We start from the raw sequence: 21,850 nt of genomic DNA, 5'->3' as shown, positions 1-21,850 counted from the left end.
GGAGGTCACCACTGTTTGACTTCTGGATAAGAGGAATCATTGTTCTCAAAATAAGTTAATGAGCAAAAAGGACTTAGGACAGAGGCAATAATGATAAATTACTTTTGAGTAGTTTTACTTAGTAGTAGACAAGGGAAAGAAAACTTGTCTAAAGAAACTTAAAAATAAACTTTGTCTAAAGTAAATATTTTACACATAGCTTAGAACTTCTGGTGGAACCGATGTATTTTCCCTACAAATTTGGGTCTATGTACTCATTATCTTAGGGTCTCAATTTAATCGGAAATATGACATTAAACCGTAGGGAATGTAATTGCCTGAGTTTTGTGTCTCCATCAAGAAAGGAGACAGAGAAAATTTGAGAAAAAGGAAGGAGGAAGTTGGCTCAGTCCCAGACATGTAAAAGGGGAATTTCCTGGGGAGGATTCTGATGCTGCAGAGAATATGAGGGTATAGCTGGGCCACAGCGCCATGGGATGAGCCTGCAGAAGAATAGGAAATTCAGGGCCCCTCCTGCCCAGTGAAGCTCTCACCTAGATAAAGGGGCCATCCTGGTGTTCTGCTCTCTGGATTACCCACCTGCCTTCTGTCAGAAATGCCTATAAGTTGAAGAGAACATAATAAAACAAGTTTGATGAGGAGAAAGATAAAAGAGCAAAAAAGCGTTGAACATTCTTAGTTTCCACTTAAAACCTATATTTGACTTTTGTTGCCTTCATCCACTCCAGAGTGCTTTTCCTCAAATTGGTTCCTAACACATTCCTATCCATGTTACTGTGTACCTACTCTATATAAGGTACAGGGCAAAATGTTTTGGGATATGAAGGGATACAAATAAATTTTTTTCCTTAAGAACCATACCATCCTGGGAGGCAGCCAAGATGGCCGAACAGGAACAGCTCTGGTCTACAGCTCCCAGCTTGAGCGACGCAGAAGACGGGTGATTTCTGCATTTCCATCTGAGGTACCGGGTTCATCTTACTAGGGAGTGCCAGACAGTGGGCGCAGGACAGTGGGTGCAGCGCACCGTGCTCAAGCCGAAGCAGGGCGAGGCATTGCCTCACTCGGGAAGAGCAAGGGGTCAGGGAGTTCCCTTTCCTAGTCAAAGAAAGGGGTGACAGACAGCACCTGGAAAATCGGGTCACTCCCACCCTAATACTGCGCTTTACTGACGGGCTTAAAAAACGGCGCACCAGGAGATTATATCCCACACATGGCTTGGAGGATCCTACTCCCATGGAGTCTTGCTGATTGCTAGCACAGCAGTCTGAGATCAAACTGCAAGGCAGCAGCGAGGCAGGGGGAGGGGCGCCCGCCATTGCCAAGGCTTGCTTAGGTAAACAAAGCAGCTGGGAAGCTCGAACTGGGTGGAGCCCACCACAGCTCAAGGAGGCCTGCCTGCCTCTGTAGGCTCCACCTCTGGGGGCAAGGCACAGACAAACAAAAAGACAGCAGTAACCTCTGCAGACTTAAATGTCCCTGTCTGACAGTTTTGAAGAGAGCAGTGGTTCTCCCAGCACACAGCTAGAGATCTGAGAACAGGCAGACTGCCTCCTGAGGTGGGTGACTGACCCCTGACCCCCGAGCAGCCTAACTGGGAGGCACCGCCCAGTAGGGGCAGACTGACACCTCACACAGCCGGGGACTCCTCTGAGACAAAACTTCCAGAGGAATGATCAGACAGCAGCATTTGCGGTTCATGAAAATCCACTGTTTTGCAGCCACCGCTGCTGATACCCAGGCAAACAGGGTCTGGAGTGGACCTCTAGCAAACTCCAACAGACCTGCAGCTGAGGATCCTGTCTGTTAGAAGGAAAACTAACAAACAGAAGGGACATCCACACCAAAAACCCATCTGTACATCACCATCATCAAAGACCAAAAGTAGATAAAACCACAAAGATGGGGAAAAAGCAGAGCAGAAAAACTGGAAACTCTAAGAAGCAGAGCGCCTCTCCTCCTCCAAAGGAACACAGTTCCTCACCAGCAATGGAACAAAGCTGGATGGAGAATGACTTTGATGAGCTGAGAGAAGAAGGCTTCAGACAATCAAACTACTCCGAGCTACAGGAGGAAATTCAAACCAAAGGCAAAGAAGTTAAAAACTTTGAAAAAAATTTAGATGAATATATAACTAGAATAACCAATAGAAAAGTGCTTAAAGGAGCTGACGGAACTGAAAGCCAAGCCTCGAGAACTTACGTGAAGAATGCAGAAGCCTCAGGAGCTGATGCAATCAACTGGAAGAAAGGGTATCAGTGATGGAAGATGAAGTGAATGAAATGAAGCGAGAAGGGAAGTTTAGAGAAAAAAGAATAAAAAGAAACAAACAAGGCCTCCAAGAAATATGGGACTATGTGAAAAGACCAAATCTATGTCTGATTGGTGTACCTGAAAGTGACGGGGAGAATGGAATCAAGTTGGAAAACACTCTGCAGGATATTATCCAGGAGAACTTCCCCAATCTAGCAAGGCAGGCCAACATTCAGATTCAGGAAATACAGAGAATGCCACAAAGATACTCCTCAAGAAGAGCAACTCCAAGACACATAATTGTCAGATTCACCAAAGTTGAAATGAAGGAAAAAATATTAAGGGCAGCCAGAGAGAAAGGTCGGGTTACCCTCAAAGGGAAGCCCATCAGACTAACAGTGGATCTCTCGGCAGAAACTCTACAAGCCAGAAGAGAGTGGGGGCCAATATTCAACATTCTTAAAGAAAAGAATTTTCAACCCAGAATTTCATACCCAGCCAAACTAAGCTTCATAAGTGAAGGAGAAATAAAATATTTTACAGACAAGCAAATGCTGAGAGATTTTGTCACCACCAGGCCTGCCCTACAAGAGCTCCTGAAGGAAGCACTAAACATGGAAAGGAACAACTGGTACCAGCCACTGCAAAATCATGCCAAATTGTAAAGACCGTCAAGGCTAGGAAGAAACTGCATCAACTAACAAGCAAAATAACCAGCTAACATCATAATGATGGGATCAAATTCACACATGACAATATTAACTTTAAATGTAAATGGACTAAATGCTCCAATTAAAAGACACAGACTGGCAAATTGGATAAAGAGTCAAGACCCATCAGTGTGCTGTATTCAGGAAACCCATCTCACGTGCAGAGACACACATAGGCTCAAAATAAAAGGATGGAAGAAGATCTACCAAGCAAATGGAAAACAAAAAAAGGCAGGGGTTGCAATCCTAGTCTCTGATAAAACAGACTTTAAACCAACAAAGATCAAAAGAGACAAAGAAGGCCATTACATAATGGTAAAGGGATCAATTCAACAAGAAGAGCTAACTATCCTAAATATATATGCACCCAATACAGGAGCACCCAGATTCATAAAGCAAGTACTGAGTGACCTACAAAGAGACTTAGACTCCCACACAATAATAATGGGAGACTTTAACACCCCACTGTCAACATTAGACAGATCAATGAGACAGAAAGTTAACAAGGATACCCAGGAATTGAACTCAACTCTGCACCAAGCAGACCTAATAGACATCTACAGAACTCTCCACCCCAAATCAACAGAATAAACATTTTTTTCAGCACCACACCACAACTATTCCAAAATTGACCACATAGTTGGAAGTAAAGCTCTCCTCAGCAAATGTAAAAGAACAGAAATGATAACAAACTGTCTCTCAGACCACAGTGCAATCAAACTAGAACTCAGGATCAAAAAACTCACTCAAAAACCACTCAACTACATGGAAACTGAACAACCTGCTCCTGAATGACTACTGGGTACATAACGAAATGAAGGCAGAAATAAAGATGTTCTTTGAAACCAACGAGAACAAAGACACAACATACCAGAATCTCTGGGACACATTCAAAGCAGTGTGTAGAGGGAAATTTATAGCACTAAATGCCCTCAAGAGAAAGCAGGAAAGATCCAAAATTGACACCCTAATATCACAATTAAAATAACTAGAAAAGCAAGAGCAAACACATTCAAAAGCTAGCAGAAGGCAAGAAATAACTAAAATCAGAGCAGAACTGAAGGAAATAGAGACACAAAAAACCCTTCAAAAAATTAATGAATCCAGGAGCTGGTTTTTTGAAAGGATCAACAAAATTGATAGACTGCTAGCAAGATTAATAAAGAAGAAAAGGGAGAAGAATCAAATAGATGCAATAAAAAATGATAAAGGGGATATCACCGCCGATCCCACAGAAATACAAACTTCCATCAGAGAATACTACAAACACCTCTACGTAAATAAACTAGAAAATCTAGAAGAAATGGATACATTCCTCGACACATACACCCTCCCAAGACTAATCCAGGAAGAAGTTGAATCTCTGAATAGACCAATAACAGGCTCTGAAATTGTGGCAATAATCAATAGCTTACCAACCAAAAAGAGTCCAGGACCAGATGGATTCACAGCCGAATTCTACCAGAGGTACAAGGAGGAACTGGTACCATTCCATCTGAAACTATTCCAATCAATAGAAAAAGAGGGAATCCTCCCTAACTCATTTTATGAGGCCAGCATCATCCTGATACCAAAGCCTGGCAGAGACACAACCAAAAAAGAGAATTTTAGACCGATATCCTTGATGAACATTGATGCAAAAATCCTCAATAAAATACTGGCAAACTGAATCCAGCAGCACATCAAAAAGCTTATCCACCATGATCAAGTGGGCTTCATCCCTGGGATGCAAGGCTGGTTCAATATATGCAAATCAATAAATGTAATCCAGCATATAAACAGAATCAAAGAAAAAAACCATATGATTATCTCAATAGATGCAGAAAAGGCCTTTGACAAAATTCAACAACCCTTCATGCTAAAAACTCTCAATAAATTAGGTATTGATGGTACGTATCTCAGAATAATAAGAGCTATCTATGACAAACCCACAGACAATATCATACTGAATGGGCAAAAACTGGAAGCATTCCCTTTGAAAACTAGCACAAGACAGGGATGCCCTCTCTCACCACTCCTATTCAACATAGTGTTGGAAGTTCTGGCCAGGGCAATTAGGCAGGAGAAGGAAATAAAGTGTATTCAATTAGGAAAAGAGGAAGTCAAATTGTCCCTGTTTGCAGATGACATGATAGTATATCTAGAAAACCCCATTGTCTCAGCCCAAAATCTCCTTAAGCTGATAAGCAACTTCAGCAAAGTCTCAGGATACAAAATCAATGTAGAAAAATCACGAGCATTCTTATACACCAATAACAGACAAACAGAGAGCCAAATCATGACTGAACTCCCATTCACAATTGCTTCAAAGGGAATAAAATACTTAGGAATCCAACTTACAAGGGACGTGAAGGACCTCTTCAAGGAGAACTACAAACCACTGCTCAATGAAATAAAAGAGGATACAAAGAAATGGAAGAACATTCCATGCTCATGGGTAGGAAGAATCAATATCGTGAAAATGGCCATACTGCCCAAGGTAATTTATAGATTCAATGCCTACCCATATCAAGCTACCAATGACGTTCTTCACAGAATTGGAAAAAACTACTTTAAAGTTCACATGGAAACAAAAAAGAGCCCGCATCACCAAGTCAATCCTAAGCCAAAAGAACAAAGCTGGAGGCATCACCCTACCTGACTTCAAACTATACTACAAGGCTACAGTAACCAAAACAGCATGGTACTGCTACCAAAACAGAGATATAGATCAATGGAACAGAACAGAGCCCTCAGAAATAATGCTGCATATCTACAACTATCTGATCTTTGACAAACCTGAGAAAAACAAGCAATGGGGAAAGGATTCCCTATTTAATAAATGGTGCTGGGAAAACTGGCTAGCCATATGTAGAAAGCTGAAACTGGATCCCTTCCTTACACCTTATACAAAAATTAATTTAAGATGGATTAAAGACTTAAACGTTAGACCTAAAACCATAAAAACCCTAGAAGAAAACCTAGGCATTACCATTCAGGACATAGGCATGGGCAAGGACTTCATGTCTAAAACACCAAAAGCAATGGCAACAAAAGCCAAAATTGACAAATGGGGTCTAATTAAACTAAAGAGCTTCTGTACAGCAAAAGAAACTACCATCAGAGTGAACAGACAACCTACAAAATGGGAGAAAGTTTTTGCAACCTACTCATCTGACAAAGGGCTAATATCCAGAATCTACAATGAACTCAAACAAATTTACAAGAAAAAAACAAACAACCCCATCAAAAAGTGGGCAAAGGATATGAACAGACACTTCTCAAAAGAAGACATTTATGCAGCCAAAAAACACATGAAAAAATGCTCACCATCACTGGCCATCAGAGAAATGGAAATCAAAACCACAATGAGATACCATCTCACACCAGTTAGAATGGCAATCATTAAAAAGTCAGGAAACAACAGGTGCTGGAGAGGATGTGGAGAAATAGGAACACTTTTACACTGTTGGTGGGACTGTATACTAGTTCAACCATTATGGAAGTCAGTGTGGCGATTACTCAGGCATCTAGAACTAGAAATACCATTTGACCCAGCCATCCCATTACTGGGTATATACCCAAAGGACTATAAATCATGCTGGTATAAAGACATATGCACACGTATGTTTGTTGCAGCACTATTCACAATAGCAAAGACTTGGAACCAACCCAAATGTCCAACAATGATAGACTGGATTAAGAAAATGTGGCACGTATACACCATGGAATACTATGCAGCCATAAAAAATGATGAGTTCATGTCCCTTGTAGGGACATGGATGAGATTGGAAATCATCATTCTCAGTAAACTATCGCAAGGACAAAAAACCAAACACCGCATGTTCTCACTTATAGGCGGGAATTGAACAATGAGAACACATGGACACAGGAAGGGGAACATCACACTCTGGGGCCTGTTGTGGGGTGGGGGAAGGGGGGTGGGATAGCATTAGGAGATATACCTAATGCTAAATGACGAGTTAATGGTGCAGCACACCAGCATGGCACATGTATACATATGTAACTAACCTGCACATTGTGCACATGTACCCTAAAACTTAAAGTATAAAAAAAAAAAAAAAGAACCATACCATCCTGTTTGGGAACGATGTGTATAACTTCAGTGTTGGCTGGCATCATCAGCCTATGCATACACATGGGGGCATATTTATAGTTGCACCCACATTTTGATGGCTTTGAACTCTACATTGACCCATGTGTGAACTTAGCTATCTCTTAGAGCTTATCTATTCTAGTTAGGGTCTCATTAGGACCTAGAGAGATGGCATGTGTAGACTGAAAAATTAATAAAGAAATTATTTCTAAGAGGTGTGGCCAAGGTTCAGGAAGAGCAAGAAGGGATGGTGCAGTGTATGCAAGCTAGGAACAGTAGGACCTGTTACCACCCTTAGGCCTGAAGAAATAAAGAGAGGAGGGGCACTAGAACCTGCAGAGAGAGTGAGAGAATGAGAGTGAGGGTGCTATATGGAAAGGCCCCTCTGTCAGAAGCTGAGATCTAGTAGGGATGGAAGTGGGGGAAAATACTCTTATCACATCTTGTCTCTCTGCCCCTTCCTCTGGGTTCCTGGTTGTGGCCTCCATTTGTGAAACACTTGTGGGCAATAAGTGCATTGGTGCAGCCCACACAGGTCACCTTCCAAGGGCACACAGCAGGGTGGAGAAGGGTAGAGAGTAGGTCTGGAGGGTTAAATGAAAGGTATCCAGCATGCTAATTTCAGAGTTTCTTAGATGATGCTCATTTTGTCCTTCCTCTTCTATTCTGGCTTCCTTTGTTTAATATCCATAGCCTGTGAACCCTTCTAAAGACTCTTCACAATTGACACCATTCCTGGGGCCACTAATGCAAAGTCCAAAGTGCCTATCAATAGTGTTCTCCTACCACAGGGTTCCTGTGTTAGTCTGGGTCCTCTGAGAAGCAGATGCTGAAACAGGATGAAACGTGCAAGGATTTTATTAAGGTGGTGCCTGTGAGAAAAGATGGGTTGGAACTGGAGAACACTGGGCAAGCTGCCAGTCTGACCACAGTGAAAGAGAGGGGGTGGAAGCATCCTAGGTTGCCACATACTCTAGGAAGGTTCAGCAAGGTCATCAGGCAGGCTTTAAGGCAAAGTTGCTGTTGGAGGAGTCCTGTGTCTCCTCTGGATGGACCTGTCTTACTATCCTTCCACACTCAGTCCTTGGCTGGGAGCAGCATGTAGAAGCGTGGCCTTGGTCCAAATGCAGTGATGAATTTTATGGCAAAGAAACTAGGCCCTTGATCTTTTATGCTTCTTGTAATTGGAGATCTGCAAGGTGCATTCTCATGGGCCCCCACAGTTTTCCAGGAATTCAGAGCAGTGTTAGAATCCAAGAGAAAGGGGTCAGAGATTAACCCTCTCTCCTGACCTCCCTGAGTTTGCATCATAGGCCTGAGTAACAATTTTTGTGCTGAGAATTTTATAAGCACTCATAGGAATTACTTCTTGTAGAGTGTTGTCAATGTCTGTGGTGGGCATGGCTACCCTCCTTGGAATAGCAGAGAAATGGTGCTCAGCCTGCCTCCTGAGAAGCATTTTCAGAGACTTGAGCTCAAGGCTTTAGAATTTCTATGTGAAAGAGGCTTTGGAGTGTAAGGGGCTTATATTCCATGGACATATCCCAATGACAGGAATACTGGAGGCTCCCCAAAGCTTCATGTGGTATAGCCACTTTCTCTAGAGTTCTACAACATTTCCTTTTAGGCCTCAAGGCAAGAAATGATTCATTGTCCTTTATTTCTTTTACAATAGAGCTTGATTGTCCACCACGAAATACCTATAACACAGAGCACAGAAACCAAAGTCCTGGGTGTCATTAGGATTCTTTTAGTCCATAGTAGAGAGGTGGCTGTCTCCTCATAAGAAAATTGGGGTGATTTTAGGATGCGGCCTTGATAGCTAGGCTGCCAAAAATACTTATAAATATTTATTATAGGCCTTTTAGCCAAGGATAGATGTGGGGCTAATTTATGGAAACCTCTTGTTGAAATAACAAGAAATAAAACATAAGTCTTAGGAAACTTATCAGGAGACTCTACAATATAATAAAATAATCTGATTATATTTCTGTCTCCTCTGCCAGATGGTAAGCAGTTTGAAGGCAGAAACTGTGTCATACTCTTTAAAAATATAACTTTGAATTATCTAAGTGATTCATATCATTTTTATAAAAATAAAAGTTACTAATAATGTTGAAATCTCCTTTACCCCCAAACTAGTCTTCCCCCTCCTTCCCATTACCCACATGCCAGGCACACAAATGTGGTTCAAATGATGCTTGTTGACCTGCATGGAAGAGATCCAGAGTGGAAACTGAGAGAGGTTCAGCAGGCAGGCAGGGTGGTGGGGTGACTGACCCCCTACCTGCCCCAATCTGGCCAAGCACCCTCTCTCTACACCACTAGCTTCAGGGCTACAAAAATTTTTCAGCTTGTCACGGGTTGCCAAACTGTGATATACAGCAGAGTTGATGTAAACTTCCACACTTTCTAGAGGATAGTTTTACTACTGTCATCAGAGTTGTGGTCGTATTTCCATGGCTTTAATCTGGTTTTGCTGGAGATGCTTCTCCAGGTCTACTGCTGGTCCTTGAAGGTGGAGACTCAGGGCTATCAAATTTTACCAAAATGACTTCTCCCTCAAAGGAAAGGGAGAGGATAGAAGATAAGGACGTCTTCTGGTCAGGTATCGCCAGACGTAGACAAACATGATCAGGAATTGGGGGATGTGAATCAGAATGGGCAGTGGGACAGGAACAGAGAAGTCAGACATGGACCAAGTAAGAAGGTGTTGTTGACCTTCCTAGGCCCACCAGTTCAACCGATGACTGAGGCCCATGGTCTGGGTACGACTGGAGGGTGATGAGTACAAGTCAAGGACCTCCTCTTGGTTAAAAAAGCAAGGTCAAGAGGGAGGATGAGGAGTAGAAAAATGAAGAGAATCAATCAACCCTTTCTCAGCAAGACTTGGACCAAGTTACTTCCCTTCTGTACTTCTTTAGACCCATACCCCTACAGTGGGTATATGAATAACAGCCCATAACCTGGTATTTACGAGTCACTCTTCGGGATGAAGAGTGAGAGACTGTTCATGAATGGGGATCTGCCCTCTAGTGGTCCTTTCTCTTGAGCCCTCTGTTCAATCGCTGATTTGCTGGCAAATTCTTTCAATGTTGAATGCCTGTTTGTCTCACTGGGTGGACTTTTACTTAAAATTCTTATCTGGGGCACATGCAGTAAGTGGAGAAAAATGTAAGACACTTTTCCTTTGGTCATTACTAACAAGCCCTGAGGAAAAAGCCTGAGTGGCTTATGTTAATCATTAAACTTACCCATGGTCAGGTCTGAACTTTTACTCTGGTACACATTTGGCTGGGACACAAACGAGTTAGGTGAGTTATAGTCTAACGTGAGTGAGTTACCTGCGTGGTGGCTGCAGGCTGAGCTCTAACCAGATAACATGTCCACGGATTCTTGACAGAGAGAAATAAGATCACTTAGAAAGAAAGGATCATTTCTCCCTTGAGTCACAAGGAGACAGAAACAGAAAAAAAAGGTACTGTTTGATCCAGAAAAGTCTCTGCTCTCTGTTTTCTAGGTGTTGTATCTCTTGTTAACGTTCTGGTGAACAAAAGGAAGAAATGGGAGATCTATAGTAGTGCCTTGCAACTTTGTCCCTCGATGTCCCAAAGGAGAAGCTGAGAGGGAAGGGAGGAAGAAGGGAAGAGGGAGTGAGAGCAGAGAGAGGAGAGAGAGAGAGGAGAACAAAAACATGACTAAATAAATGCACACAGCTCTCCTCTGTGGTTGAAAAATTTTAGTTATGAGAAATAAAGAGAGTCTGAGTTTATTTTTAGGAAGAATTAGTGGATAGACTAATAAAAAATTACATTTATAATTGACATGAAAAAGATGCAGTTCCAAATGTAGGGTTTTAAGAAAACCAGTGTGCGAATGTTTATTTCTATTGTTCTGAGCTTGGGAGTAGGCATTAAGAAGAAATGTTAAAATCACGTAGCCAGATTGAAAATAGACTCTCCTGTGCTGAGTATATTTTGTCTGTGTAACAAGCAAGTCAGATCTCATGCTTTTGGACTAAGCAGCAAATACGCTTGGGTACTTTTCCCTATGTGGTAGATGTATTCTGAAAGTTGTATATTTATAAGTTGAATTCTATTTCAAATAGACGTAAAAGTTTGGGAATTTTGCAACGAAAAGGAACACTTGCTGAATCCACTTGAAAATACTAGAATTCCTTTCTTAAATCCAAGTAGCCTCCACACTTACCCTATCTGGTAATGACTCGGGGGCAGGTACATAGATTGTTTGTTTTCCCAACTTTTAGTATAGTGCTTAGCACGTAGTGGGCATACAATAAATGTTTGCAGTGTTGAATTAAATAGAAATGATTATAGATTTCCAGCTGTCTCAATCAGAACATGCCCGTAAGGTGAGTTTATTGCAAAGTTTTTGCAGATTTTTTTTTTGAGGGGGGGAGTATATTGTAGCTTTTATATTTTCAGAAATGATGTAACTACTTCTGCTAATCTCAGTGTTTTCTTAAAAATATAAATTAAATGGCCAGGTGTGGTGGTTCATGCCTGTAATCCCAGCACTTTGGGAGGCTGAGGCAGGGAGATCACTTGAGGCCAGGAGTTCAAGACCAGTCTGGCTATCATGGTGAAAACCTGTCTCTACAAAAAATTCAAAAATTAGCCGGGTGTGGTGGCGCACACCTGTAATCCCAGCTACTCAGGAGGCTGAGGCATAAGAATCACTTGAACCTGGGAGATGGAGGTTGCAGTGAACTGACATCATGCCACTGCACTCCAGCCCAAATGACAGAATGAGACCCTGCCACACACACACACATACACACACACTTTGTGTGTGTGTATGTGTGTGTGTGTATGTAGGTATGTATATATATATTAAATATATTTATATATTTATATGTAATAAACATAAACATAATTAAATATATATTAAACGTGTATTTAGTAGTACATGTGGGTGTTTAATTCTGTAATTTTCAAACTTTCAGAAAATTTCAGAGGCACTATTTTTAAGAGGATTTTGTCGATGCCCTCTGCCATGAGGTGCTGGAGAGCAGCTCAGCACTTTCCTTAGAGCAGGCATGAGAGTGAAAGCTGTTCATCTCAGATTAGGTAAACCCAGATTTAGGGTATTCAAATATGTCTTCATCCACTCCAATGTACTGAGCGCTGTGTGGGACCTTCACACTTTCACACTAGGAAGGCTGTGGAAATAGAAGACTGGTTCCTGGGTCTCTTCAAGGAACGTGCCGTCTGGAAGAAGAGGCCTATGTGTGCCACATTATCTGGTCTAGGCTCTACAGCACGGAAGTTAGAGGTTCAGGGGGAAGGTGGTGAGCACTGGAATGGCGGAGGAAAGAATCAGCTGAGGAGGGGCTCCTGAGCAGCACCACGAAGGTGCGCCAGGATCTCCTGAGGCCACGGAGAGAGTTGAGGGCATCCAGGAAGGGACCAGCAGGGGCCAAGGCAGAGGCTGATGTGTGGAAGGCTTGTCTGAGTGACGGTGAGAACGGCGTGTGGCTGCAGTGTAGGGTTCAAACTGGAGAGCAGCACGAGGGAAAGCTGGACGCCAGCACAGGGCAAAGCAAAACAGACTTCACCCTATCACGAACTAGAATTTTAATTTCTAGAATTCTTTTTAAAACTCAGCTTCTGTTCAATAATGAGTTAATGAAAGAGGTTATTATTTATCCAGCTTAAAATAAGTTGGTGGGACAAGGAGGGCAGAGTGGGGATGATTTTATGCAAGGTTCTCAGATGATCCTTTTCTCCTGAGCTTGGAAAAATGGTGGCTCCATTTGAAGACACTAAGGCCATGTTTATCTCATCTCCTTAATTTCCCAGGTTTCAGAACAGCAAAATAATCGTATGTAAACAAAATGATAATTTTTTTTTGCTTTTTTTGTTTTTATAAAGCACAAAAGCTATGCTGCTCCAATCAAAACTGAAAATGCTTTTAATGTCTGAGCAATCTTAAGAGTATTGATTTAAGTGGACAGAATGACTGCCTGGCTGATCTCTCTGATGAGTATTGAAGTACTACTTTTGGCAGGTCAGTAGAATGTGTTTTGAAGGAATTATAGGTAAGAACACAATAGGTTACCTTGAGAACTATTATTGAAACTTAAAGTAATATTTTGGTTGTATACCATAAATATATGCATTTTTAACTTGCCAATCAAAAAATTGAGTTAAAAATACTGTTTTCAGAGCAGGTGTTAAGGTATTTGCTTTTGGGTTTAAATTATATGTTGAATAATTGTTTTTATTTTCTGTTTAACAGCTGAGGTTATATACTGAAATGTTATGACTATATACTTCAATTTTTAATGGTCAGTGAAGATTATTGTTGTAGTGCAGAGCTTTTAATAATAACTTATAACCTTTCTTTTATAATTCCTTTTGGGCTATGTGATGTAATTCTTTTTAGATTTTGCTGTCGGACTTTCCCAAAGAGATTAACTTGTCATAATCATTAGATTGCTTGTATTATCTCAAATCATCTGTTCAATTTTCTCTGCGAATTTGGTTATCCTCTGTATCTTTTTATGGCCTTTGTTTTGGGGCTTCTTTAGATAGAAGTATCTAATCATCTTTGGAAGATGGTCTAGTCTGGCTGGGGCTGCCATAAATGGTTGTGCTAATGTGACGTGGTTCCCCACCACCTTCAGATGTGAAGTGCATCATGAGAATAACTGTACAGGGAAGTCCTGGGCTAGACACAGTTTCTTCTAAAGAAACTATAAATAATTCTGTCGGTAACACTTTCCTTGTTTATTACCTCACTGAGCAGCTGCATGATTTTTGCTGGCTTCCTTAACTTGGCCTTTCCTTCATCAAGACTTGTCCAGGAACATCTTCAAAGATGGAGGGATAGATTAAGGCCCATGCTTAGCTGGTGATCTATACAGGAGAATCCAATCTAGCCTAGTATATAAATTCTATACTGCCTTTTTTTTTTTTAAACAAAAGGAAATTCCAGCAATGATCCATGCTTCACCCCCTCTCTAAGCAGGCAAGGCAAGAATCTAGATAATTTTGTATTCATTTGGGAAGTCATTCTGATCATGAGGGAAAACTAGTATATTAAGCAGTATATTGAGCAGGAGAATTGAAATAGGAACAGCTTCTATTAGGTTGGTGCAAAAGTAATCGCGGTTTTGCCATTAAAAGGAATGCAAAACAGCAATTGCTTTTGCACCAACCTAATGGAAGTCCTTTTTTCTCTCCAGGACTGGAAATGATTGATGATCTTTACAGGGAAATATGGCCACCTGATTAAAGAGTGGGAAAGAGAGCAGAGAGAGACAGTATGGGTTTGATTAGGACCCAAATATGTCCTTGAGGCTCTTTCCAAAGGAAGTAGAAATTCAGAATTGTCCTGATGAGTGCAGGGTTTTTGAATGTCTAAGATAAGAAGAATTTGTCAAAATTTTCCTTAAAATGGGGCTTCTGATGATGTGTTTCCCACACCAGCAGCACCTGGTTAGAAATGTAGATTCTTGGGCCTGCCCCAGACCTACGGAACCAGAAACTCTGGGGATGTGGTGCAACCACCTGTGCTTAATCAAGCCTTTCTGGTGATTCTGAGGCAGGTTAAATATTGCTTAAAATATTGCAGAAGGTAGTGGTTTGAATCTGACCTTCAAAACCAATGTTTTTTTTCACTTACTTACAGTACGTCACCTGAGTTTACATATTGAACCTGAAGAAGGTAGCCTTGCAGGGGGAACGTGGATCACAGTCATTTTTGATGGTAGGTTGGGGTTTTACCAAGTGCACATTTCTTATGTATTGACCCACAATCCTAAAGACTATGAGTCTTTGGTTTTCTTCCTTTTCTAAGGACAGGTGTAAAAGTGGGCCTGAAGGGAGACGAACAGACTGACCAACTTCTGTCTTTCTAGATACTGGCTTGCTAATGTCACAGAAGCAAAGCACAGCATACCATGACAACTCTGTGTCCACTTTCCCATTCCAGGCTGTGGGATGGGACTCTGGGATTTCTACATGAGATGATATGGAAGTGTGTAGCATAGTGCTCAGCAATGCATCTCCCAGAATCTTGGCTATCTTCCTTAAAGACAGTCCTCTACTTGGGAGCTTCTGCACCATTGCTTAGCATATCCATCCCCAGCAGAGTAAAGAGTAAATCTGAGGGCTGAAAAATTCTTTTCTGGATTTAGGTGAACCTGAAGAGAGAAAACTCTTTCATAAAATCATAAATGAGAAAACTCCTTTATACAGCATCTATGAGGAAATGAGGAGTATTAATTTAATCCTTGGGCAAATTTAATGTCTTACATTACCCCCAGGATCTTAGCACAGTTTCACACTGTCCTGTGTCAATGACAATTCTATGCAGCCTGAGATTTCTTTCCCTTGTGTTAGGTTTGGAGTTGGGTGTTCTTTACCCCAACAATGGCTCTCAATTGGAGATACACCTGGTGAACGTGAACATGGTGGTGCCCGCACTGCGGAGTGTTCCCTGTGACGTCTTTCCTGTTTTCTTGGATTTGCCTGTGGTGACATGCCGGACCAGGTATACCTGTCTGGGAATAGGAAGACCAGACAGGATGAGGGATTTTTGCTTATCTCAGTATCTTTTGGTGACATATTAGAGCAATTTTTGCTGTGATTCAATTGCCAGCCATAGTTGTTAAAAAAAGTTTCATGTGAATATGCTTTCTAAAAGGTCCCTATCTGGGGTCTAGAACTTAACGGAGGATGAGAGTATGGGGAAGAACTTTGAGATATTCGTAAGGAGGGGCTGGATTGTGTTTCCATTTGTTTTTTTTTGCAAAGAGTTCTATGGCTATTAAGATTTTAATAAATGGTACCATTTTGCCATTGCAAATACTCATCTTTTGGAATAGGCATAATTGCAATGATTGCACATAAACCCCAAACTGGTTAGAAAAGAAATTTGCTTTAGGCTCTGTTTGCTGAGTTTGACATTACCTCTATTTAGAAAATATTTTTATAAGACTCCAGGGAATCTGTTTTTCTACTCAACTTCTTGTTGCCCTGTGAAATTTAGACTAGTTCATGTTCATTTTTATTTACTCATGTCTTAGGCATGAGTAAATAAAGTGCATGCAAGTAGATGATTGGTTAAGAGAAAAAAAACACTGTTATTTCCTTTTCTTTTCTGTTCTCTCTTTGAGGAAGTCTCCCCCTCTTCCATGTTTGGCTATGGAAATCACCAACCATACCACAAATGCCACCTTTTCCCTGAACATTCAACTAAGTTATCTTTCCCTTTTTTGAAAGGAGAAGGAACAACTTGTAGTAATTCATCCACAGGGTGTATGTGTGTGTACCCACACTTTTCTGTGCAATTCATCACCCCGAAGGGATTTTTTTTTTTTGTAATTTACACAAAGGTACAGCACGTGTAGCCTTAGTGACCCTGTGCCTCAGCTCTGAGTTTTCATAACACTTATATGTCAGTTACCCACTTGTCAGACTCCTCCTCACAGAATTAAGTGCTTTGAGGGCAGGGGATGTGTTTAATTTCACCATTGTAGTCCTCATGATGCATTGCGCAATATCTTACGAGTAGAGGATGTTCAATAAATGTCTGTTGAATTTAACATTTTTATACCACTACTATTGGTTTTAAAACTGGGTTATATATTTCCCTTAGATTTTATGGCACATTTGGGCATAGACATTCTGCAAAGACTTGCCATGAAACAAGTCAAAGCTCTGGAGATTTACATGTCCTATCTCCTTTATCCCAACATACTAATGATTTTTGGATGCACCATTGATTTTATGTCATCTTTTTAAAGAAAAGAAATATGATCCTATTAAATATACTAATTGATTGGAAGACAAATATCAGATTCAATTAAGTGTGAAAAATGTACAGTTTTTCATGAACAAAATATGTCTTATTCATCATTATCATAAAAACATGTACATAATTGTTTTCTCTAAAACAGCCATTGCAGCATCAAAAGCAGCACTTCACAATCAAAATATAATGTGAACACAAATGTAATTTAAAATTTTCTATTTAGCCACTTGAAAAAGTCAAAAGAAACAAGTGAAATTAATTTAATAATGTATTTTATTTAACTCAACATATCTAAAATATTATTTCAATATGTAATCTATATAAATTAATAATGAGATACTTTTATATCTTTTTTGTATACCAAGTCTTCAAAATTTAGTGTGCATGTTATAATCATGGCATATCTTAATTGGGACTACCCACATATCAAGTGCTTGATAAGCACATAAGACTAGTGGCTAACACAATGGACAATTCAGATCTAAATATTTAAGGTCATACTAAAGATTTTGTTGGGAAGGTTTGGAGAGGAGGCATGTCTTAAATATGGTTTCTTTCTTATTAGTCATATTCTTCCTCTTACAAAAATCAACATGGATGTCAGCATCAGGTGGCAATGAAGCCACTGCAATATTTGTATAAAGAGGAGAGAAGATCCAAGACTCTGTTTTGATGGCTACATGAAGTATTTATGGGCTGCTTGGACAATTATCAGAAAGAGCCTAAATTCAAGCCCCACTTTGCCCTTAACGTTTGAAGCTCATACACATAAGTCTCTTAGTTTTTCTGACATTTTTTGAAACATGGAAATGGGGAATAGATTATCAAAGTCTCTTCTAATTCTTAAAGTCCAATGAACCTATGATTTTGAGAAACATGACATATTAAAAACAATTCAGGGAGTTTCAACACAAAAAATCATAACTTTTTTTTGCTGAAGGACCCAGTTCTTAAAGTCTAATAATTATGAGTGGATCAAAGAGGTGAAAGGTGACTGCTGGGAATCCTTGGTTAGCTCTGTTTTAAAAGTGCAAGGAGGAAATTTGAAGTGGCAAGTGGGCTGCTAGCTTTGGGAATTCATGGTTTTTGATTCATAAGGATTTCCACTTTCTGTCCTCAGATCTGTGCTGTCTGAAGCACATGAGGGTCTGTACTTCCTGGAAGCATACTTCGGGGGACAGCTGGTAAGCAGTCCAAATCCAGGACCACGAGATAGCTGTACTTTCAAGGTGGGTTCTAAGGCTGGAGGAAGGTATGTTTACATAGTCTAAGGGTGTGCTTGTGTTATTGAAAGGCAAATTGTAAATGAGCCAGCGTGTCTGCTTGACCGGGTTAAAAGAAAATGGTGGATGGTAATGACAGAGTTTCTTATATTATACTAATGAAAGATGAATTTTGAACGTTTGTATGTCAGCCTTTAGCTAAATGCTTTATGTACATCATTTGATTCAATGCTCACAATTTTATGGGGTAGCTATTTACTGTCCTGTTTTTACAAATGAACAATCTGAGGCTCAGGGTGATTAAATAATTTGCCCATGTCATCAGGCAGTAAATGGCAGAACCAAGACTTCAACTTGCATCTGGTTCTAAATTCTCATCAAAATAGAAGCCCATAGAGGGGCCACCAAGATTACTTTTGTGGGTGTTTCATTTTACAGCTCAGATCATGCTGAGTCTCAGCATGTTGAAGAGACTCAAGGCCCCACGTTCCTTGGTGAGGAGACCCAATTTCTACCTCTCTCCCTGCTTCCTGGTATATTTCTGCTAAGTCTTTCCAACACTGAACCAAAAGGGCATTTGCTGCTGGAATTCTCCTTCATGCTCAGGGAGATCAAAAAGGAAGTAGAGAGAGAGTGTTTAGGAAGCCATGCCTGACTTATTTTACAGCCTTGATACCTATACTGGGAGTTCATTTATATTTGGTTCAGTCTGTTGTTCATTTCAGATTAGTTTTAAACAATCTCTGAAAAGGTCCTAGATGGTTTATGAAAGGCAGAGATTTGGCGGTACTCCTGTCGATGTGGTTGCCCTTCACATGGGGTACCTCTGTTTAAGAGCTGTTTCAAAACATACAATGCAGTCACTAATGAATGCTCCTTCGGAATAAGGCTTCACCTTGTAAATTTGTCTCTCCTACGATCCGTGTTTCATATAGGCTATTTGGTTTTGAAATTTGGAATTTGCTGTTGTTTCAGGTTTAATAACTTGTTTCTTAATCCAAGAGAATCTTGTTTTCTGGAATTTTGCTTTTGCACATATGCAGCAGAAAGAAAAAACATTATATCATTCTTTTTTACTAAGAGCTGCACCACCACCTCTATCCTGTCTCAGGGAACATAACAGAAGAGAGAAGTCCAAGCATTAATCACCATGATCCTTTTCACCCCAGATGGTAGTTTTCCTGCTTATTAAAAGATTGGTTAGGAGCGAGAGGGGGAAATAAGAGAAACGTTTCCTAAAATTGCACATGAAAGAAAACAAGTCCGTCAGTGGTTCAACTATCTTGGCAAGTTGATGAAAAATCACCAGGGGATGCAGTTAATGAGAGGCATTCCAGGCTAAATAAAACACGGCGTGTCTCTTTGTTTTGGGACTGGGACTGGGGAACCATGAGTATTAAAAATTAATCCCATCTTGCCAGTCCACTGCAAAGAGCCTGCTGTGGGCGCTGACAAGTTTGAATAACTCACAGAAGGTTGATCACACAGCTGGTGGCTGCAGCTTTCTCATCCTAATCTGCTGCATTTCCTCTCCCCTCTTTTGCTTCTACTGACCACACTGGGGCCCGAGGATCAGCATGCGGGAAGCTTGATTTGGAAGCTCATTAATTTTTCACTTTGTCATGTCTCTAGCCTGGTGGGTGACCAGGGGCCTGTTTCTCTTAGAAACGTACCATGTTATGTTGTGTCAGCTCAGAGAGAATCACAAGTGAAGCCCTTTTTGAGGTTTAACCCCAAGCCTGCCCCACCACGATCTCACGAGCTGGGAGGGAGTAATAAAGGAGTTGCTGTGTTTCCCATGGAAGTCTGGTAGAAGGATTATAGACTGAGTGGTGGCTCTTAGATTTCAGGTTGAAATAGAGAGGTATGCTTCCTTATTTGGTTTGGACTCAGTTGTTCCAGCTGCCTCAGGTTCTAAACATCTGTGAAATAGGTCAATAACCACTACTGTACTTCACTAAGCTCCTATGATATAGTCCAGTTGAAATAATGTTGATATGAAGGCCTAGGGGCAGTGGTTGGCTGGGAGGGTGGGGTGGGGACTGAATGTTTGGCAGGTGTGTGTGTAACTGTATTAATCTTTATCTTTTGGTGAGATCAGAGCCAGTTCCCAAGCTGTGAAGTAACAACATTGTTATTTTGACCCCCTGACACCACATATTTTCTGTGAACTATTTTCTAACCCTTTCCTTTAGACAGTGAGGAAACTAGCCTTCATGGCAGACTATACAGCATATGGATCAATACTTAAAACCTACGCCTGGCAAGCCACCATCAGCTTTGTTGAAATGTCTGTTGATTCTCAATCTGATTAAGGCTGTTGATTAACAACCGAGTTATTCTTTGGTGATGTTCTCTCTGGGAAGGTAGACTCCTGAGGTGCTGGAAGCAGACCAAACAAAACAATTTGCTGCTGTAATTTGTTTTGCAAATGGGAAGCACTGTAGGTTGTGTGGAATGGTGGTAGTCTAGGCATCTAGAAGGGATTGGGGGAGGGGAGGGAAGGGGAGACTAGGTCTCTTCCTAGGTAAGTAATTGGCTCACAGGTCAAGCCTTGGTCTGGCCAGTTCATCCTTAAGCTTTCCTGTTTCTTCATACTGGCCCTGCTGTGATTTCCTGATGGAGTAATGCACTAATCTTAGACTAACACAGATGCCTACAGGTGAGATGGAGTTCCTGGGATTGCCTCGTTCTCACCTCTCCTTCCAGGCAGTATATCAGTCATCCCAGATTGGGTGACTCTTTTCATTCACAAAAATTCGAATGTCGTCTGCATACCAGTCTATGCACAGAGACACAGCAGCGACTCAGTCAAGCATTGTCCCTGCCTTTGTGGAGCTTATGGTTAACAGAGGGTGTGCTTTGGGGACAGGGGGCATTGTAAGATGATTTGGAATGCTACCGCCAGGCTTTCTCAGGCTCTCACTGCTCCCATTGAGGCTGCTTTCCTCCTCCTTGAAGAACAATGTTGCTTCCCATTCCTTGAATCTTTTGAGTCATTTCCCTCACAGCAGGTATCTTCAGTTTCCCTAGTAAGCACCTCAGTTGTGTGCCTATCCAGTTTCTCATTTTTTTGTAGCTTACTGATACCTACCAAGGTGCTGGCTGATAATGATTTGAAGTTTTGATTCAATTAAATAAGTGCATTCCTTTCTAGAAAAATCAAAATCTTCAAGGCCCCAAAACATCAAATTACAATGGAATTAAAAGACTGACATTCTGCACAAAGACCTGTCTACCTTTCCTTCTAGTAAAATGTGTTCTTGGGTATGGAAGGTGGGCAGGTAGAAACAGGCTTGTCAAGGTTTGGACAATATGGTACAGAATAGAGGGCTATGTGACCTTAATCAAATTACCTCTACCTCATCTATAGGAGAAATATGATAATATCTATCATTTCTGTTTCATAGAAATATTACAAAGATAAAAAGAACTAGACAGATGTGAGGGTGACATGAGTAAATATAAGCATTTATTACCTTCAAGTAATGCTGTCTGAGGAAAGGCTTGTGCCTCCTGTGTTTGTGAATATTTTAATGACATGCTCACTTGTGGTACTATTTTCTAAACAGTTTTCCAAGGCGCAGACACCCATCGTTCACCAAGTTTATCCACCAAGTGGTGTTCCAGGTAAGAAATCTTCTATTAAAATAGGAATAATTGTGAATCTGTTTGCCAAAGCTTGTTGCAAACCTAGGTGAGTGGTTTTTATGAGTGGGAAAATTTAACTTCTTCTTTGATGCTGTTTTGAAAATAAGAGTCAACCTCTGGTTCATTTTTAACGT

At 40.8% G+C, this 21,850-nt stretch overlaps 1 protein-coding gene across 18 annotated transcripts in view, besides 4 other annotated features; it reads left to right on the top strand.

Annotated features, from left to right (window-relative positions):
• Positions 382 to 1,581: an enhancer, noted in NCBI's record as "BRD4-independent group 4 enhancer chr6:51961188-51962387 (GRCh37/hg19 assembly coordinates)". NCBI's record gives its function as "activates an origin of replication core promoter dependent on BRD2, P300/CBP, MED14 and CDK7 cofactors, and independent of BRD4, by STARR-seq in HCT116 cells {active_cell/tissue: HCT116}" and the evidence as "EXISTENCE:reporter gene assay evidence [ECO:0000049][PMID:35650434]".
• PKHD1 (PKHD1 ciliary IPT domain containing fibrocystin/polyductin) overlaps positions 10,356 to 21,850 on the top strand; it is a 472,317-nt gene continuing 460,822 nt past the window's right edge. For 16 of the 18 annotated variants that reach the window (XR_001743469.2, XM_017010945.3, XM_017010947.3 and 13 more), the window contains exons 1-6: positions 10,358 to 10,537; positions 12,954 to 13,089; positions 14,716 to 14,793; positions 15,429 to 15,579; positions 17,963 to 18,071; positions 21,638 to 21,695. Coding sequence is in view for 17 of the 18 variants with exons in the window: in XM_017010945.3 (XP_016866434.1) it covers positions 13,038 to 13,089; positions 14,716 to 14,793; positions 15,429 to 15,579; positions 17,963 to 18,071; positions 21,638 to 21,695 (448 nt within the window). In the remaining variant the exon portion in view is untranslated. Of the gene's footprint in view, positions 10,538 to 12,001; positions 12,541 to 12,953; positions 13,090 to 14,715; positions 14,794 to 15,428; positions 15,580 to 17,962; positions 18,072 to 21,637; positions 21,696 to 21,850 lie in introns of those variants that run through there. The other 2 variants (XM_017010944.3, XM_011514680.4) reach the window with 2 other exon arrangements.
• Positions 20,232 to 20,800: an enhancer, noted in NCBI's record as "OCT4-NANOG-H3K27ac hESC enhancer chr6:51941969-51942537 (GRCh37/hg19 assembly coordinates)". NCBI's record gives its function as "activates a minimal SCP1, AML or CMV promoter by ChIP-STARR-seq in primed H9 embryonic stem cells {active_cell/tissue: H9 hESC(primed)}" and the evidence as "EXISTENCE:reporter gene assay evidence [ECO:0000049][PMID:30033119]".
• Positions 20,801 to 21,371: an enhancer, noted in NCBI's record as "OCT4-NANOG-H3K27ac hESC enhancer chr6:51941398-51941968 (GRCh37/hg19 assembly coordinates)". NCBI's record gives its function as "activates a minimal SCP1, AML or CMV promoter by ChIP-STARR-seq in naive and primed H9 embryonic stem cells {active_cell/tissue: H9 hESC(naive and primed)}" and the evidence as "EXISTENCE:reporter gene assay evidence [ECO:0000049][PMID:30033119]".
• Positions 20,846 to 21,140: a silencer, noted in NCBI's record as "tiled region #305; K562 Repressive non-DNase unmatched - State 24:Quies". NCBI's record gives its function as "represses a minimal TATA promoter and a strong SV40 promoter by Sharpr-MPRA in K562 cells {active_cell/tissue: K562}" and the evidence as "EXISTENCE:reporter gene assay evidence [ECO:0000049][PMID:27701403]".

This window comes from Homo sapiens, chromosome 6, assembly GCF_000001405.40.
Source record: "Homo sapiens chromosome 6, GRCh38.p14 Primary Assembly".
Lineage (NCBI taxonomy): Eukaryota > Metazoa > Chordata > Mammalia > Primates > Hominidae > Homo > Homo sapiens.
This window is presented reverse-complemented; position numbering and strand designations above follow the sequence as displayed.